The 20,994-nt window shown below is 41.1% G+C and overlaps 1 protein-coding gene across 3 annotated transcripts in view; it reads right to left on the bottom strand.

Moving 5' to 3' along the window:
• Nucleotides 1–20,994, bottom strand: part of PGM1 (phosphoglucomutase 1) — a 66,835-nt gene that overhangs the window by 19,029 nt on the left and 26,812 nt on the right. For 2 of the 3 annotated variants that reach the window (NM_002633.3, NM_001172819.2), the window contains exons 2-7: nucleotides 11,630–11,792; nucleotides 11,129–11,275; nucleotides 9,435–9,560; nucleotides 6,198–6,388; nucleotides 4,829–4,983; nucleotides 2,417–2,532 (exon numbers count right to left, since the gene is read on the bottom strand). In NM_002633.3, the coding sequence (NP_002624.2) occupies nucleotides 2,417–2,532; nucleotides 4,829–4,983; nucleotides 6,198–6,388; nucleotides 9,435–9,560; nucleotides 11,129–11,275; nucleotides 11,630–11,792 (898 nt within the window). Of the gene's footprint in view, nucleotides 1–2,416; nucleotides 2,533–4,828; nucleotides 4,984–6,197; nucleotides 6,389–9,434; nucleotides 9,561–11,128; nucleotides 11,276–11,629; nucleotides 11,793–17,456; nucleotides 18,002–20,994 lie in introns of those variants that run through there. The other variant, NM_001172818.1, reaches the window with a different exon arrangement.

Raw genomic sequence — 20,994 nt, 5'->3', positions numbered from 1 at the left:
GAGAAGCTAAAACCATGATTGGTACTAGGTATTTGTTGAATGTGTTAATAAATGAGAACAAACTTTAACAATAGTCTAAAGTCTAATACTTTGGTTCAAAGAAATCAATTCCACAAACATAACATGAGAGACTTCCCTTGGCAAATAGTTCTAGGTAAAAACTTTAAGGGTTTAATTACCCACAACCTTATGTGGGCTAAACAGTATTATGCAACTTCCTAAAAACTAACATAAAGGAAAGTTATGTCAAGAAAAATACAGTGTCCTAATCACTAGAAATAATCATCCCACCCCACTCTTCACTTGCCAGGCCAACCCTGGAAGATTTGGGCTCAGTTCTGGGCATCACCTTCTAAGAGTGGCACTGGCAAACTCAGAAGCACCTAGAGTCTGGCACTGAGTCTATAAACAATGTGAAATGAGGAATGACTGGAGGAAACAAAGATGGACGGCCTGAAGAAGGAAGGACCTGAGAGCTGCTTCTTGTATTTGAAGGCCTGTTGTGTAAGAGGAGCAGCTTGTGCTATCCTGTCTTCAGGCCTGTTCCCTGTGGGTCAGCACCAGGGATTCCTACTTGGCTCTGGGGCTCTGATCCCTCTTGACCAAGGCTTCCCACATGGGTCTGTGGAAAAAGAAGTTACTGTACATACTACGAAATGATAATAATAATAATCATTATTGTGGTGATGATATTGTATCATATCATCATAATTATTATATATAGTGGTAAACTATATTTAGGCAAAACTGTACTAACAGGATTCTTTATGGCAGAATGTTCTGGAATCTTCAAATGCTAATATCATTGTGAATATCCAAAACAGAGAAGTGTGGTCCAATTTTTCCAATTTTTCTTGACCCCTAGAACCCTCTCATGGAACTAGTATTCTTCCACATACTCACATGCTCTGGGAAACCTGACTCTAGACTTTTATCTTTTCACTAGGCTCAACACTGATACTGGTACAGGAGAACAGGAAAACAAAGGTTTTGACACAGTTGCTGCCTTCAAAGACATCTTCATTCATAAAGAATGACTGAAGCCAGGCCTGAACTAGATGACCCTGTGGGGAGTTTCATGGGAGAAGACCACCTCATAGGCTCATTGGGCACTCATGTAGTATCCCTCAGAATAGCATGGCACCATGCCCATTATATGAAGTAGAAAAGGACTAAGCAGTGGCCTTGTAATCTCTGATTTAAACACCCACAACTTTGGGAAACTGTCTAGCCTTTGTTGTGGAAGTTGTTCAACCCCAAGACTCATCCAGCCTTCTTCATACCTTCCAATTCTATCAAGGCAGTTCATTGCCAAGGAATATTACCACTCTCGAAAATATCAAGTTGCTTAGAACTCTGTAAATATGTGCCTCCAATTTAGCAGCTCATTCTACCTGCTCTACCTCCAGACTTATAGGAAAGGAAATGAAGTCAGTATTCTGTTCTGTTTAACCTGGCATGAATTGCAACTCAATTGCAAAGCTGAGAGAATGCTTGATTTTGATCTTCTTTTCTTCACTAAAGGGTGACAGTAGAGTACTATAGGACCAAGATCAGCACATTTACTTAAAAATATTGGGTAGAGGGAATAAAAGGAGAAGAGATGCAGTCACTTAACTACCTTATAACCTGGCCGGAGACTGATACATGGGACAGGGCCACACACCTGAACAGACTTTTAGGAAAGAGAGACTGATACAGGCAGCATGAGGTAGCAGAGAAGGTCGTGAAGGAGGTGGGAGTTCGGGTCAATATTTGGACAAGCAGAGAGGAGGAAGGAGAGCGCAGAGAGTGAGGTCTATAGGTCTGGGGTCATCCCCTGAGAATACTATGTACCCTTCTTTCACTCTAATATTAATACAATTACACAAACATCCTCAGGCACAACGATGTATTTTTAATTTCTTGATCACCTAGCAACTTAGTTCCACCCTCATGGTCTTCCTTCATTTAGCCTTGATTACTCTGCTATAGAAAACTTGGGCCTATAAAAGAGAAAGATTTAATGCTGTGCTGAAACCTCTTCTTAAATAAAAACAAAAAACCGACTTGCTCCACCGTATTTCTTCTCAGAAATGAAAACATTTATAAAGGTTTCTTTGACCACCGAAGGAAGAAAAATCTGTTTATCGCTCTGTTTAATCCCTGCAGACTCAATGACCACGCTGCTGAGGAGGCCCCCCAACTTCCTGTCTGAGTCGATATGATCCTCTGAAAGTAAAATTAGCCTTTCTGGCTGAATGTGCTCACCCCTTTTCAAATGTGCACATTTCATCAGGGTTGTTATAAATAATTTGTGCCTTGATTTAGGACACATCGGCTACCGTTGGTATTTCAGTGCTACCTTAGCAGTCTAAGCTTTTACTGGAAATAGTGGTTACAGGGAGGAAAATGCTAGCACAGGAGTGTGACTTACCGGTCCCGAAGCTCTCCTCCCCACAAAGGGACAGTTTGCTCGCGTCCATCAAATTCCCAAAAAACTTCCAGCCAGTTGGGGTCTCATACAAAGCAATCTTTGTAGCACTAGCCACCCTTCAAAGGCATGAAATCAAAGTTACATCACAGCAGGACTGTTAGCGTGGCCATGTGAGGGACGGAAAAGGGCAATCGTTATTGTAATCAAGGGTCCCATTTAGCATTGCTCAGAGTCATACATAATTCTAAGATTGGTGGAAAATCATAAGAGAAACCTTGTGCACAATGGGCTATTATATGTGGATTCAGAGAAGGCGGAAGAAGAAAGAATTAATTCAGATCATGGAGTTTAATATTTTAGAAGAAGCATCCGTAGTAAAATGTTCAGGGCTGCTGTTTAAGCTATTTAAATCCACATTTTGGATACAGACTGCATCTATAATCAATCTATAAAGAAGAGAAGAATGATGTTTTGATGCACCTGTAATCACAGAATCATGACATACTGGGTCTGGGCAGTTAGCATTTTACAGAGAAGGAAACAGGGCCCAGAATGTTATGTGATCAGACAAAGGTCACAAAGCCAGGATGACCGACCGCCCAGTATTCAGCTCTCTGGTCAGTGCTGCTTTTGTCTCATCAGAAGTCTCCCCAGGGGAAACGCCCAGTGGGGTCTCCCCTAAGTACTGGCTTCACCCACACTGATTAGTGGTTCCCCTTCCCTTCTAACACGTCTTTTATTTCTCTCTAGGTATCTTTAAACTATTTAAAACCTCTGAGTGACTTAAAAAAAAATTCCTTTCCCTTTGAACATGAAAAGTTACCTGATAAGTTCCATTCACTGTTTGAGCGAGATTTGCTTCCCAGAATGTTTGCCTTATTTCCAGGAAAGCAATGTCAGCTTTGCATTCTGATATTTGAGGAAAAATCAAATCTATGATTTTGAAAACTATGAAAGTACAATAAACTTTTATCTGGGTAATGAGGTACTTCAATTGTGATTCTATATGTGGATTATCAATTTTTCCAAAAATTGGAATTACACTGTTCTTGGATGACATAGAAGGTATTCCAGGACCTGACAGGCCTAACATATGATAGTGTGACCTCAAACCAGCTCATAATTTCAAATGCAGGACCTGATGGTAGACGTGCTGGGCTCAAATGCTAGCTCTAATTTGGTGGTGAGATCTTGGACAAGACTGCTAACTTCCCTGACTTTCCATTTCCTCTTCCTTAAAATGAGGTCTGCTGTGAGGATCAATTGAGATGGTGAATGTAAAAAAACACTATACAAACTACAAACCACTATATGGATATTAGTGGCTATTTTCTTGTTAGCTGAAGCAAAGTCAGCACCAATTCTATAACCATCTCCCCTCTACAGAAAACAACTGCATGGCCCAGTGAGTGGGAGCAAAGGCTCTGGGTTCAAATCCTGAGTCAGCCATTTACCAGCTGGGTGACCTCAGGTAAGTTACTTCTTCGTCCTTTGGTTTTCCCACCAGAAAAATGGTGTTAAATACAGCATTTACCTCATGGGGTTCATCTGAGAAGTAAATGAATTAAAACATGCAAAATATTTAGTGTCTACAACAAAGTAATGTTCAATAAATATCAGCTATTATTATAAGAGCCTAGAGATATATTACAGCCTACTTTCCTCCCTGGCCTTGACCTTTTATTCATTCATTCATTCTTTACCTTTTATTCATCAAACATTTCCTGCACACCTGACATATTCTAACTAATGTTTTCCCTGGTCCTCATCTGTTATGACTTTCATTTTTCAACTTTTTAAGTGTGATCTAACAAGCCACCTCAAAGCCTTTGTACAATGAAGTGATATATAAACATTCACTGTGTTTGTGTGGGCAAGAGCGATCCAGTCGTTGAAACTCTAAAATTACTTCAAACTGCTCTTTCACCCACACTCTGTGCACACTGCAAAAGAAAAGTGATCCTCCAGAATGATGTCTTGAGTACTTCCATTGTTATTCATTAACACTCAACTATTCATTAACTTTAAAAAATTATACGTGTATGTGTGTGTGTGTGTTTGTCCTACTATGTGCCAGGCACGCTATGGTCAGGCAGAGTCCAGATGGTGAACAAAACAGTCCTTTCTCTGCAGAAGTATACAGTCTAGCAGGGCAGCCCATCAAGAAAACAGCTACTAGAACACAGTGTGGTAAGTGCCAGGAGGAGGAGGCCCAGGGTGCCAAGGGAGTGCGGAGAGGGGCATTGAATCCAGAAAAAGCCAACCATCCCCTCACACAAGAATCGCTCAGCACACTCTATGCATCAGATGCCCATGCTGAAAGGGAAGGACACGTGTTCCAGGCACAGTGAAGGGTATGGTGAAGACTGGGACGACCTAAGACAGGAAGGCCAAGGGAATGGAGACACCTACCGGTCCAGAGCACCACTCGTGGGCATGCTCCGTGCAAAGCCGCGGACCCCAGTCTGCTGGAAATACGGAATGCTGAAGATGTTGGCAGCAATGACAGCCACAGAGTCTGAAGGGTTCACAAAGAACCCATGCTTGCCCAGAATCATGTTTCGATCCTTGGGGAGAAGAGAGGATCAAAGAAAGACCTTTTAATCAAACTATAAGAAATCAAACTATCTTTCATGGGGGTTTTATAAAATGTAAAACTATAAAATTTGAAATTGATCTCCTTTCCATACTGCATTTTTAACACTGGGTTTTATTTTCAATGAGTTTATACAGTACCATTGGGCCGAAGGCACCTCCATGCCAAAAAGTTAAAACTGTTTTCAATTAAAGTCCAAGCACAACCTCCTTTTGAGCTGAGTCCTCTGTTCTCCCTCCAGAGGCCAGCTAACTTTAACCTCCTAGACTTTTTTCAGACTCTGGAACCAATCATCTTTTTCCCAGGGGAGGGGAAAATGCAATGAGAGAAGAAATATTGGCTGTTTACATAGTTTGGTAGGTCTACTGGGTAAACTGTGTACCACAGTCTGTGTACCACAGTAACTGGGAGGGTGGCCAAAAAACACTCCCAGAATGCACTCATCACAAAGATGTACTACAGAATAATGTCTGCTGGAACCCCTTTAATTTCCCAACATTTTGATAAGGGAAAAATCATTTTTCAGGAAACAGTGGATTCTAGCTAATGGTAACACTAGCAACAACAAAAATATATTTTCAACTAAGTAAATGTATACAGTGCCTACCATCAGTGAGATACCAGGGATATAAACCTAAGACACATCTCTTCCTTGTCTGGTACATAGTCACCCTTGTAAATAAAACAGCTTATTTCTAAACATTTTAATGGTAGAGAATGATTAAAATGTTAATTCTCTCAATATCATCTTCATATAGGCAATGAAATTACAGCTTCAATATTCAGCTCATGTGAATGAATGAATGGGTGTATTATAAGACCAAAATCTTGTCCAGAGATTAAATAAGTAGCCAGCTGCTGGTTGAGAGCAGAAACCCACCTTAAGACAGGCATCTAGAACTCACCCAGCTCAGGAAATACCAGTCATTCTATCATAATCAGAACCTAATCATCGTGCCATTGTTAGCAAGTATGGATGTCTGAAATTAAATGTGTGGGTTTCATTTCAATGACTCCTATTCCTGTTCAAGAGGGGCTTCTAATAATTTAGTTCTGACCTCGGGTCAGAATGAGGGATCCTTAACAGTTATTCCCTGGGTCTGGCAGAAGCAGCCCACTTTTTTCCCCATCTGCAGGATCAGGCCTGGCCTGCACCAGAGTTCACTTAAATGCACTTATACCCACCCCATCTCCATCAAAGGCAGCCCCAAAATCATGCTCTCCTGACTTCATGGTCTCCACCAGGTCAGCTGCATAGGTGAGGTTGGGGTCAGGGTGGTGGCCTCCAAAGTCCTCCAGAGGAACGCAGTTAACTGCCGAGTTCGCAGGGGCACCGAGTTCTTCACAGAGGATCTTCTTTACATACGGTCCCACAACTATATACAGCATGGAATAAATGTATGCAGAATCAGAAAATAAAACTCCTTAAAGTATGTGAGGATTCAGGGGTGAGGTGGATGCATTCTGGGGAGAAGAATGGCATGAGAAACAACAGGAATGTGTGAAATGTGTTCAGGGACTAGTGGAGAGATACGCCTGACTGGAGAAGAATGTTCTCTAAAAAGGAACAATGAGAGATTATGTTGGAAAAGGTGGGGCCAGTTCATGAAGGGCAGAGTGGGGAAAGGAAAGGAAACCAACCATTATAAAGGCCCTGCGGTATACCTGTGCTTTCCCATTCAGTCCTTCAGAAAAGCTCAGAAGGTTGTACAGCTTAGAGCTTAAGAGCCTGGACTCTGGAATCAGAGTGTCTGGGTTCAAATCCCAGCTCTGCCAGTCATTGGCTGTATAATAATTTTGGGAAAGTTATTTAAACTCTCTGTGCCTCAGTCTCTTCCATCTGCAAAATGAGGGTAGTAATGCTAACTACTTAACAGGATTGATGTAAGGATTAAATGAGTTAATAGCTATGAAGTACTGAGAATAGTACCTGGCAGATATGTTATAAATGTTTATATTATGATTATCACCTGCAGTTTACAGATACATTGGAATGTTGGTGTTCTGAGGTAAAGACATTTGCCCAAACTTACATGGCTAGGAAAAGTGGGAATTGGGATTCAGAGCTGTTATCTTTATATTATGACAAGCTAGCTGACAAACTGATTAAAAAAACACAAACAGGCCAGGTACGGTGGCTCACACCTGTAATTTCAGTACTTTGGGAGGCTGAGGCAGACAGATCACATGAGGTCAGGAGTTTGAGACCAGCCCAGCCAACATGGTGAGACCCTGTCTCTACTAAAAAAAAAAAAAAAAAAAAAAAAAAAAATATATATATATATACACACACACACACACACACACACACACACACACACACACACACACACACACAGAGACACAGACACACACATGCATACACAAAGATTTGCCAGGCCTGGTGGCGGGCGCCTGTAATCCCAGCTACTCAGGAGGCTGAGGCAGGAGAATCGCTTGAACTTCGGAGGCGGAGGTTACAGTGAGCTGAGATTGCACCACTGCACTCCAGCCTGGGCAACAGGGCAAGACTCCGTCTCAAAAAAAAAAGAAAATAAAAAACCCACCACCAAAAACAAACAACAGGAGAAGCCAGTTACATATGTTTACAGTGACATTTTATATAACTACCAAGAACACGCATCTCTGAAATGCTGAGAGAGTATTTTCATCAAGGATGGTACTAATCCCAATACAGTACATGCCCCAGAGGTCATAACACTGTAGAATAAATGTGTCCTATGAGGCATCACCTATTAAGCAGGTTACTGACACACCACAGAATGAGGTCAAGGCAGCCAGGGCTGTGAGGGATATAGAAACGAAAGCATTAGAGGAACAGCCAAAAGACCTGGAGAAAAGTAGTCTTCTTCCGGAGAAGCTCCTCTTACCCAATGCCCTCCTCACATGCCCCATTATCCAGCCAGCCCAGGCCTCTCGTTTCCCTAATGTGACATCCATTTTTAAGCCTTCATGCCTTTGCCACAGCCACCGACTCCATGAGAATGACCATTGCTTGATTTTTCATCACTCTAGATCTTTCTTTCATAAGAACTGAGTTGGATGCCACTTCTTCCAGGAAACCTTTCTTTATACCTAGTCAAATTATGCCTTCTTCCAACCCCAAAGAGAATACTTGAAATTCCAACTCTCATTTTGTTGGCCTGGCAGGAGTTAGTTTTTTAGGGATTTTTTGTTTTTTTGAGACGGAGTCTTGCTTTGTCGCCCAGGCTGGGGGGCAGTGGTGTGATCTCCGCTCACTACAACTTCCGCCTTCCGGATTCAAGCTAGTCTCCTGCCTCAGCCTCCTGAGTAGCTGCGATTACAGGCATGTGCCACCACACCCGACTAATTTTTTGTATTTTTATAGAGACTTTTATAGAGATGGGGTTTCACCATGTTGGTCAGGCTGGTCTTGAACTCCTGACCCCATGATCCACCTGCCTTGGCCTCTCAAAGTGTTGGGATTACAGGTGTGAGCCACCGCGCCCGACCCCGGGGTTAGTTTTTTACCCACTTCGTCTCCCCAAACATTGCACATTCTTTGAAGAAAGTAATCTGCCCAGTTCCTGCCTATTCCCCAGGCATGCATTTTGCAGGTATGCAATACACATCTGTTGAATGGTTTAAAATGACAGAATCGCTTTTGTCTGAGTAAGGAAGTAGATCCATTCTATGGGAGTCCAGAGGCCAGCTAGGACCCAAGGGGAGAAGTTTCAAGGATGGAAGGTTTTAGTTCACCAGCAGAAGACTTTCTGTGGTTTGCAGTGTCACAGGAATCCCCGAATTGCATCACTAAAAGGGTTCAGTTGCAGGCAGAAAGGCTTCTCCAACCAGGCAGATGTATGTGTATAGGTTTCAGGGATTCTCATATACCTACATGTCTGAGAAAACCCTCGTGGTTCTGGTTCACAGTGATAGCTGCCCTCTCTATGGACCTGACCACACAACCCACGGAGGAAGAAGAGAGGGCTGTACACATCATGTTGCTCCTGAATTTAATCCTCAGCTTGCTCTTGCCCTCTTCTAAGAAAACGAGCATTTGGGGGCAGGTGAGTGGGGGTGTGGGGCTCAGGAGTATGTTTATCACATCTCCCAAATGACCGTCCTCTCAGAAATACATGGGGGCATGCAGCAAGAATGTAAGGTATCTTCTGAGGGGGAGGGAGAGTCCACAACAGCAGTTGCATGTTACTCAGAACCTGATGCTTAAGGTGGAAACACTGACCTTCACACGAGCTTACCACGAGGAGTGTCTCTACTATTTTTGCTACATACAATTAGATTTTTATCTGTGTGAATATTGCTCTGGTTGCAAAATAACTCTATTTAAAAACCATCAGAGAGACTTGAGAAAAGGCTTGTTGAAGCATCATGATACACACAGAAGAGGGCAACTTCCTATCCTCAAGAGATGGGAATTGAAAAGAAATGATTGTATACCTCCATGCATAGCATCAATACGGATCTTCAGTCGGTTTGGCCCAGAAAGTAGTTCTTTCAGTGCACTGAAATCAAAGATGCTTCTCAGCATTGTAGCATAAGCTTCTACCGAATCCACAATTTCCACTGTGAGAACAAGCAACATCAAAAGATGGAAGGATTAAACACATTTAGAAATATTATATTCTGATGTGACTATATTGCTGTAAACCTGCTATTGCTATTTTAAAAGGACAATTATTGAACAGCTCCAATAATACGGCTGTTAAGTGATATCCGATACTATCTAATACTACCAATCCTTACCCAATACTAACAATTTTCCTGAGAGGTAAATGTTATTAGTCCTATTTGATAGATGAGGAAACTCGACGTGTGAAGGGTTAAGAAACTTGCCCACACAGCTTGGATGAGGCACACAGGGGATTTTCAACAGAGGTTGTATAAATTCTGCTATGCCACCACAGTGCTTCCCCATTCGTCATCTTGAGAGGTGTGTTTTGGTGTTATAGAGAGTAGAAAATGTAATCCCCACTTTTCTTTCCTTTTCTTTTTCCAAGTCCATTGTCATCAAGACTTAATGGTACTAAGTGGAAAATGAAATTTTTTAATGAATCACTTTTCACAGGTACTGCTTAAGGAATAAAACAAAAATAAAACTTATATAAATATAAGAACTTAGTATTGTTGTTCTTGTTGGATGTTCAAGGCTTCTGAACATTTTCAAAACTGCTGGATATTCAGGGGTTCTGAACATTTTCAAAATATGAAGAATTTAAGAAACTCCCTACTGGAATCTTCTGAACCTCAAGAATGTCTTCGAGATGACCAAAGTGTCACTTTATCTTTGTTAGGATGCAATTGTCAGCTCTCCCTGAGTAGGTTCAAACAAAAAAATGCAATCCATCCTTTAGCCAGGAACTAAATGACTAATAAAATGCATTCCATAAAGTTGCAATCCAGAAGAAAGAAAACATGTTAGGGCAAAGTCAAAATGCAAGTTCATTGCCAATCATCTCATCCTCATTTTATTAATCTGAATACTTTTATAAATATTTATTCTGTCAATTATTACAATAATTCAACAACAAAATGTTAGCCACAGCTGCCTATGTAGGGAGTTGCAATTTGGTCCCCCCAAAATAGTCTGATTGATTTTACTGAATGAGGAAAACTAAAATGGAAAGTGTAGTCTTGCGAATCATTCAAACCTGAGTTGAAATCTTCGTTTTGCCATTCACTGACTGTGACCTTGAGCCTGTTACTTAATCTCTCTCAGCCTTTGTTTCCTCATCTATAATAGTGAATGCTGACAGTGCTGCCCTGACAGATCTACTGTGAGAATAAAATGGATTAACACGTGTAAAGACCTTGGCATGTAGCAAGAGGTCAATAAAAGTTAACTATGAATGTAATCCTGCAGGTCTTCTAGTCAAGGCATGAAAACTGAGGCCTAGAGTGCTGGAAATGACTTACTCGATGTCATGCAGCTGATCCCTGGCAGGGCCCAGGGAGCCCAGGTCTCTGGTCTCCCAAACCTAATTCCAGACTTGTTAATTAACTAACACTTGCAAAGCTTACAGAGCACTCACGGAAATCTTTCCAAAGCTGAAGACCCTCTACTAAAACGTTGAAAGGAAAATCGCTCAACTTGGAAATAGGAGTGGGCAGAAAGAGGAGGAAAGTAAACATGCCTGTGAAGGGTTTGAACTTATTTTCCAAGTCAAACTGCTGCTTTCCCAGAACACCAAGGTCTACTTTCAGGTCAGGGCAAACTGCATATTCTTCAATTGTCTTGCTGATTTGGAAAATTTTATCAGTTATTGCTTCTGGAGCAGGACCTGGAAACCAAACAGCAAACAGTGGGTTACTTCGTGCAGCTCACATGGAAATACAAAGAATCCAAAGCTCATCAGTTCCTCTTCACTAGCACATCTACCATTTCATCATTCAGTCAGCAAAGTAGCAGGATTTTTCTAAAAGAAAATATCATGTTAAGGAAGATTTGCGCATGGCTCTTCATATTCAGGTACAGTCAAATGAGAAGCATTTCACTGTCACTGAAAGGAAGCAAAGAGCACCTCCCTACCCCCTGCAAAGGATCAGAACCAAAACCCTGGTCTCCCAAGGCTCCAGGTATTGATTTGTCCTACTGAATGTAAACTTACCTGTCCTCAAAATGACAGCAAACTCACCTCCATTAGAAATATTGAATTTGATTCCAAAATCTCCATTGGGGCCCCCTGGGTTGTGACTGGCTGTCAGAATGATCCCACCAATGGCTTTGATTTTTCTAATGATGCAGGATACAGCAGGGGTGGAGAGGATTCCATTCTGTCCGATAACCAAGCGACCGATCTAGGAGAAGAAATCCAGAACACACTCTTTAACATCAATACATCCAGAGTCACCGCTCAGAAACAACACCAAGACAACAGGCAGATGGACAAAAAAATAATAGTAATAATCTGTTGGACAAGAAAAGATTTTATTTAATAAAAATCTGCAGCTTGGATGTCTCCACCATATTACTGAAATAGAATCAGCAATGTTGAACAAATTCCTTCAGATGGTTTTCGGGACTTTGTAGTTTTAGAAGTGTGTGGTCTGTGTGCACTGTAAGGCTCCAGCATGAAAACACAGCATATTAAAAAGAGCCTTTCCAGATCGGGGCCACAATTTGGATGCATTGAAAGAATATGAGAAAACCCACATTTTTATCCAATTCAATCATACTTTCAATCCACAACGGGAGAAAAGAAAAGGTTTAGCTAATTAAAGGGATTCTACCCAAAGAGAAGGCTTTTTTAAAGTAAAAAGGGCAAATTTTATATCAAGATTATTGAAAAATGACTCATCAATTTATCTTTCCAGTCAAGCTTGGCTTTTTCATATAGTGGGTTTCCTCAAAGCAAGACACACCTACTTCTGTTACAGTGTACCTGGGTTACCTCCTGGGCCTAAGACAAGAATGCTGGAGTTATTCCTGAGTAAACCAGTCAGAATGACCTACATGAAAGGGCGACAGATGGGACTTCTGTTGCATTCTTAACTTACCTTCCCATATCTCTTACAGATGGTATCAGTACTGCTCCTAAATCTTTTTTGCTAAAATGACAGTAATTTATATCTGTTTCAACATGACTCAAGTTGGAAAAGAAGGTTGAGGTGCTGTCAGTTCCTCTTAAAAAACAGGGATTTTTTTACATTTTCCATTTGTTATTTCTTTTTGCTTCACCCAAGATAAACATGATTGAAGAAACAACTTGATGGTGGAAGATGTGTTTCTAGTGTTGAAAATGTCCGTGAGATACCTGGATTCCCTGGGGAGAGTTTCTCTGGGACTGTTGGCTCTGCCACCCTTCCATAGCCCATTGAAAACCGTCAACCACTCCACTACCAACCACCTCCCAAGGAGCACCTGGTTCCCTTCAGTTACCTCTTGGCTCTCATATGTCAATCTCCGAACAATTTTTGTTGTAGCTCCCCTAATATATTGGTTATATCCTGCCTTCCCCAGGAAATGGTAACCACCAGGGTGGATGCTGTCAGTAGGCTGCTTTTTAGACTACAGGAACCTGCAGATAGTGTGAAATCAAAACCGATGATTGTTACTGAGCTACAGAGTGCTTTCTACATCCCATGGTACTTTTGATCCATTCCCACATTTGCTCTTCCCAAGTACCACTGCAAACATGAAGAAGCTGAGGTCCAGAGTTATCATGATCCTGCCCATTCATTCATTCTTGCCTCCATCCAGCAGCAATAATAACAAGCATTAATGGAAAGGTACTATGGCAGACACTGGCGTAGATGACACGACAAGGCCACACAGCACATTAGCGGCCATGGTGGGGGAAAGTATTGAAACGTCCTGACTCAACACAGTGACATTTCACCTTCCAGCAGTTTCCAGGTGTGGTTGTGATGAGAATAAAAGCCTATGTTCGGGCAGTTCCAGAATGTCCATAGGAGGGGTTTAGGGGTGGCTTGTCGAGTTGTATTTACACACCAAGCATACCAATTTTTATATAGATTGTATTTGGTGTGGAAGGAGAGGCTGGTGATATTAAGCTACACCACCCATGTCACCCCTTAATTCTACCATTCCTTATGGTGAGATTTGCAATGGTTCCAGGCTGAGGGGATTATGCCAGGGGTAAGAGTAAGAAGGAAAGTTGAGAGATAGAAGCAAGGTAGCTTCTCTCTTGAGCCCAAGAAGAGGTACATCTGGTGGAAGAACTCCCCTTCCAGATCAGGCTCTTTCTTGGGAATCACCCTCAGGAATATTGCTCTCGATCTGATACAGGAGAGACACTGCTCTATTACCCTCCTTCCCTTAAAGATGCCTGGACCACTGCAACAGCTCCTAACTCAATCTCCCCTGCCTCTGTCCCACATGATTCTCTCTTACTCGACCCTGGCTGGATCCATCTGACCTACTCAAACCCATCTAGTTTATCTTTCTAAATCATAATTCTGTGTCCCTTTTCTGACTCCAAAACCCTCCCAGAAATTCCACTTCTAGGTATATACCTGAAGAATTGAAAGCAGGACGCAGACAGACACTTAAGCACCAAATTTCACAGCAGTATTACTCACAAAAGTCAAAGGGTGGAAAGAACGCTAACGTCTATCATCAAGTGAATGGATAAACAAAATATTGTGTATACATACAGTGGAATATTATTCAGCCTTAAAAGTGTGTGTGTGTGTGGGGGGGGGGGGGTCCTGCCATATGCCACAAGATGGATGAACCTTGAGGACATTATGCTAAGTGAAATTTGTCATACAGCATTTGTCACAAAAGACAAATGCTGTATGATTCCACTTACATGAGGTATTTAAAGAAGTCAACACCATAGAAACACAAAATACAATGGTGGTTGGCAGGGGCTCAGAAGAGGGAAAGATGGGGAGTTGTTCAATGGACACAGACTTTCAGTTTGGCAAGATGAAAACTTTCTAGAGATATGCTGCACAACAATGTTTTGTTACCATCACTGAACCATACACCTAAAAATGGTTACGGTGGTAAATTTTATTACATGTTTTTACCACAACTAAAACTTTTTAAAGAATTTGTCACTGTACTCAAAGATGACATTGCAATCTATAGATATGGATGTGATTGGAAGGACATATATAGGATAATTTTTTTTTTCTTTTTTTTTCTCATGTGACTGCCAGGTCATAAGGATAAATATTTTTTAACTTAAAAAAAGGGAATAAAATTCTGACACATTCTACAGCCCGGATAAGGCTGGAAAACATCATGCTAAGTGAAATAAGCCAGATGCAAAAGGACAAGGATTGTCTGATTCTGCTTCTATGAGGTAACTAGAATAGGCAAATTCATCAAGACAGAAAGTAGTACAGAGGTTACCAGAGGCTGGTGGGAGTGGAAATGGGGAATGATTGTGTAACGGGTACAGAGTTTCTGTATGGGATGATTTTTAAAAAAGGCTCTGGAGATGGATAGTGGTGATGGTTGTAAAACATTGTGAGTGTAATTAATGCCAGGGAACCATACACTGAAAATGGTTAAAATGGTAAATCTGATGTTATGTACATTTTACCTTTCCTGGCTCCCAAGTTAGAGATAACCCCCTCAGCCAGGCACTAAGAGTCCATCCTCAAATGGCCTCCCCTGCCTGCCTTCCTTTCCCACGACTTCCTTCCTTAAAACTCACGCCTCCCCACCAAAATGGGTATCTCATTGTTCTCCAAACATCTAATAGTCAAACATGGCAGGGAGTAAACTTTAAATATTCCTTTTAATTGAAAACAGGGCTTGGTATTTTCTTAGGTTATTTAAAAAACAAGTTCCATTTTCTTTGTCCTGTAATCATGCACATGGGTCCTGCTCTTACCTCTAAACTTACCTCTCAGTTTAGAGCTCTGGGGACTGAATGAGATATCAATATTCTAAAAGGGGCCCGTCAATATCTTATTTTGTGCAATAAAACGTCCTTTAAAAGCAGAGAGCTCTATGTAAATAAAAAATGAAGAGAAACTTATAACCCATAAATGCACCAGATAAAGTATGGTAAAGGGAAAAAAAATAAAATGATCTCCATTTAGCTCAGTGGGCTGAAAAGCCCTCCAAGAATCAGCTTATGGGCACAGTGGGTATTAAAGAAAATGAGAAAGGAGCACTGACTTTTGTCAAAATCTGTGGTAATAATTATCCTTCCTTTAGATTTCCTCCCTGCAGTCCCACCCACAATCAAAGGCATGTTAAAACAGTCAGAATTTAGGATATGTTAGAAAGAGAAGAAATCAAACCCTTTAGAATTTCACAGGTTTAAAGCGCATCCGATTGAAGTGCTTTATCCAGTCCACTAATATTTTAAGCAATTCAGTTGGTTAGCATGACTGTTTTAAATGCAGTGCTATTTTTAATAAGGTGGCTCTCACCTCTAAGCTTACCTTGAAAAGACTTGAAAATATTGCTTGGGCTGCCAACAGCTCTAACAAATAGGCAGCTACCATATTTAGTCAATTATCACTTAAATGTATTATTTAGCAAACCTTCAGAGGGCAAATCTGAGAAAGTCTGTAGGGTGTGCCTGAATTACACATTCCTACCACTTCTTCCACATTCTTCAGCTCCACACAAAAATGAAATGGAGCCAAATATATCACAGCAAAGGGGACAGTGTACCAGATCCACTCAACAGTCTAGATATATGTGGAGAAATAATGTTCCATTCGTTCCCTCTCAAAAGATTAAAAGCATCTTAATACTGTTCCCTTTGCAGCTCTCCTCAAAGAAAAAATTTATGGCATGTCACATTTTATCTTAAAAATGTGTATGCTTCATAATAATTTCATATTTGAGTGCTTTATCAGCAACTTTTACATGAGAGGCATTCAGATTCTGAAACTGAGTATCAGGAAAACTCTAATTATAAACAACAGGATCTACAAACACTTTAAAATTTAGTGTGGTGGTACATTTTATTTTGTTTTGCTTTAATTTTGCTTCTGCAAACATACCTGCTCAGCATATTTTGAAAATACACTGAAAATGAATGTCTAACACACTTAGTTGCAATACTACATTTTATCTACCAAGAATCAGAATCTCTTCCAGAAAAGAAATACACCAGATTTTAAAATTTGCAGGTACTGAAGGACTATGTGCTCCAACTAATTGCTAATCATTATCTAAAACACTAAAAATGTATTTCTGGTCCCACTGAGGAATTTGCAGAGCAAAAACATCAATGTCCTGATGCCCACCTTCCTGGAAACCAGTGGGCTGCACGAATTGTTAGATTATCAAGATCAATGCGTTCTGGTACAATATTCCTTCTCATTTGCTTAATCCAGCCAACACGGTTTTTCACGATGCAGAGGTTTAGCAGAGCCGCCTCATACTATAGTCTTACAGGAGTTATTATCTCTACCCTGCTGCACAAATTCACCATGCGCACGGCTTCTTTGTGTCCAAGGTCATTATAAGCAGGTGCCCCTGTAACAGGTCCCCTCAAAAGGCTCACACCTAACATTTTCCAACCCCTCCTAGCATTTCTGCGTGACTACCAGGATCCATAAACAACAGCATGCCCTGGCTTTTGTTTTCCTGTTTGACAAGTGACTGAACTTCAACAAGAAAGCCATTGAAAGAAAACAAAATCCTCTTCTCTCCACCATTCAGTAGAGCCCTCTTACACAGGACAGGGTGCCCCTTGAAGCTAGTTAGAATGTAGATAAAACAGCTTAAGACCGGGAGTGTGCTTTAAATGTCTAAAAAGCAACAGGTACTTTGTCAAGCAACAGAACACAGCATAATACCTAAGAAGCTGAACTTAACATTCCTGTATCCCAGTGTGGCTAATGTAATTTCTGAAGTATTTTCACAATATACAATCACTGAAGTTACAATGAAACTTAGCTGGATGTTAGTAGAATTGAAGTGTATACCACATATAAATCCTTGTACGTTTGTATACTTCTGTAAAATTAAGGTTATTTGGAGAGCCAGAAACATAACAATACTTATCATATACCCACCCCATTGGCAGCTGCCATCTGCACTATTGTTTCTATTGCTGATTTATTAAAGTACCGCCCATCTCCACCAACCACCAGTGATGATCCCTGGCGATCTTTTAGGTCTATGGAAAAGAATATACTCTGGATGAAATTCTCCAGATAGCATGGCTTTTCCTCAAAATAATAGGTTTTCTTCCGTAATCCACTTGTTCCTGGTTTCTGATCGTGGTAGGGAGCTGTAGCAAAAGTCAACAGAGGGAGAGGACCTTCTTCCATTTTTCTATATGTCCCAGAAATCCATTCTTCAAAATCACTCATCCTTCACTTCCACCGACTGGCTCAGTGAGGGTGTCCAGAAAGCAGTCAAGGGACTCCAAAATAGGTCTGTCCAACCTGAAGCTGCAACAGTGTCGTATGAGTAACTAAAATAGAGGGTTTGCATGGACGATCACTCTCAATGAGAAAGCTTGGTTAATTCCTTGTTGTTGTTGTCCCTTGTGAACAAGTTAAGGGCCACACACCCACTCGCACCCACACACAAAGCAGGTCTTCAAAGTTGTTTTGATGAGGACACTTCTGCCCACTTAACCAAGCCAAATACCCTTCAATTATTTTTGTCTCATTTCCCCGTTAGGGTAGAGATAGCTCCAAGGAGTGCTGCATGCAGCCAACTTCAGCTGTAAACACCAGGTGGCTGACAGGCTCCACTCTCAGAGCCCAGGCAAAGAGGGCAAATGCAGTCCCACGAAGCAGATTTGTGAACAAGACACCCTGGTGTGGCTCTCACTGCTCCTGCCATCCCTTAAACCAGAGCCTCTCTGGGCATTCATCTCTGAGAAGGCCATCTGCAGCTAAAGTTGCCCCATGCCACCTAGCAAGTTAAAGGTCAATCTTAAAATGGAAGTGAGGGAGCTTAATTTACCCCTGGTTTTCTTACATCACTGTCATTTTGAAACCTAAGAAATTATTTTTACTTCACACATGCAATCTATCAGGAAAAAAATTATCTAACAGATTTATTCATTGGCCACCAAAGATTTAAGAAAACAGTGTTCAGTTCTAGAAGAACAGATACCTCCAAAGTTGCCCTGAATAACCAACAGCTTGGTCATTCCTTTGAATATACAAAAAAACAGGCGTGAGGATGCACCAAGTCCTTAAAAATGTAAGCAAAACACGGAAAAAATATACATATGTTTTTCTGAGTACACAGGGTTGGATCGAGTTTTTATTTAGAAAAATAATATGAACATGAGATTCGTTTTTAACATTTTCTCAGTTTTAAGCATACTTGACTTTTAATAAAATGTTTTTAGGGAAGCAGTTTAAGTCCTTTGTATTTGAAGAAACTAGGATGTTTAAAAATATTTTACCTAAATAAATTTCATATCTAATTCCATTTGATCCCTGAGATTTTATTAATGATCTATTTAAATACATACATGTGTGTTCTCAGCCAGGCATGGTGGCTCACACCTGTAATCCCAGCACTTTGGGAGGCCAAAGTGGGCAGATCACCTGAGGTCAGGAGTTCGAGACCAGTCTGTTCAACATGGTGAAACCCTGTCTCTGCTAAAAATACAAAAATTAGCCAGGCATGGTGGCGTGCACCCGTAGTCACAGCTACTTGGGAGGCTGAGGCAGGAGAATTGCTTGAACCTGGGAGGCTGAGATTGCAGTGAGCTAAGATCGTGCCATTGTATTCCAGCCTGGACAACAGACCAAACATGCACTGAGGAATTAAGGTTTTGAAGGGAAAAGTGAATCATCCCTTGAGCAACAAAATCTGAGTCTTTTTATACTAACTTGTCAAGTAGCATCCGAAAGTAGACAGGCACTGGTAGCTGCCAACTGCCCTCTGTCAAGAATGCCGCTGTGTTCCGGGGCTGCTCTGCACAAGACCAGCAGGAATAACAGGCTCACAAGCAGAAAGTAGGCCACTGGCAAGGGAGCCCCTTCAAATGACAAATGGGCCTGGCCCATGTGCAGGAAATACCTCGAGACATAACATTAACACAATTCACAAAACACATCTATTATGTTGAAAACCAGTCAGCCAAAAGACGACTACTTTTTATAGCTTATTTTGGGCTCTTAATTTGTTTTTAAAAGTCAAATTCTTTAGAAATTAATTGAAAAAGCAAGCATGCTTTATTAACAGTTTACATAACCACTGTTTTTCAACGTACTATAAATGATTTTTTAAATTCCTATTTTGTAAGTTCTGTGCCAAGTTTTCCCTGGTTTTATATGGGCTTGTGAATTAGGCTGGCATGTGTGTCTTGACATATCCGATAATAGATCCAGATTTATAAAATATCATTCCAATAATCTTTTCATTGGAATAACAGAGCAGCCAACCACATAATTGGTAGTTTTCTTAATGAGATCTTGAAATCCCAGGGTAAATTTGGGGGTACTTGGGCACAAGGATATTCCCACATCCCATACCAAAGCCTCTCTGCCCACATAATACACCACACTCCAGCATAGTCTCTGCTGGCAGCCTCCCAGTCTCTCGGTGAAGTTCTTTCTGAGGGCAGAATTACGAGAGCAACATTTTAAGCAACGACACATGCCAGGCATGGTGTTTGTCAATATGCAAAACTATACCAAAAGAACATAATCCTTGCCCTAGAAAAGCTTCTATTCTAAAAATGGGCCTGATCATAATTTTATGAACACTATAGAACTCAACCCCATATAAAAATATTACCAGAAGCAGCAATGTTAGATGGACTGTGAAGTATAGTAAAAAAGAAGAGACATTAAAAACATTAAGCTTCCTAAGACACTCAGACTAAGTGGGGCAGCTATTAAGAAACTCATTTGTTTTAGCTCTCCAGCAAAGGTTGAACTTCATCTTCAGAAACGTTACTGTCGAGCATAGCGAACCCAATTTGGCCTAATGAATTCGCCTGCATTGCCAGTACTCCTTCACAATGACACAAATTACATTTAAACCATATGGGGGATTTAAGGATTACTCCCTTCAGACAAGGAACTTTCATACTGGTCTTGGGTCCAATCAATTTCACAATGGCAGAGTTATGAACCCCTTCGCTCCCAGCCTTGCAAAGACTCCAGCTTCCATTTGCATCAGCAGTGATACCTTCCCAGTAGAGCATAGCAGAAACCGTAGACTTACCAATCCTTTATTCACTCTTTCTTTTCTATGTTTCTTTAAAAAATATTTAATGGACAGTTAATAATGGTGTCCCAGGCCCCATGTGAGGGCTGGCCTGAATGGGTTCACCTCTTCACACCAAGAATTCTTTCTTAGCTAATGTCCCAGGAGTGGGCATAAGGGATGAGCCTGATAACCCTATTTCCAGGCATAAGCACTAGAAAGAAAGGCAGAAATTTGGCTTAAAGCAGCAGGGTTAATCAGACACTCCAGCCCAAGGCCCTATGCTTGTGATGGCTGCAGGTGCCTGTTCCAGAGGGCTTGAAGTGTTTGTCCCCAAGAGTGGAAAACGGTTATTCATTTCTCCAGCCACCAGTAACTAAGCAGGTAGTAAATGCTCAGCCCCAGGCAAGGCACTACATTCTAACG

The sequence above is a fragment of the Homo sapiens genome, chromosome 1, assembly GCF_000001405.40.
Source record: "Homo sapiens chromosome 1, GRCh38.p14 Primary Assembly".
Lineage (NCBI taxonomy): Eukaryota > Metazoa > Chordata > Mammalia > Primates > Hominidae > Homo > Homo sapiens.
Note: the sequence above shows the minus strand (reverse complement) of the source record. Positions and strands in the feature narration are given on the sequence as shown.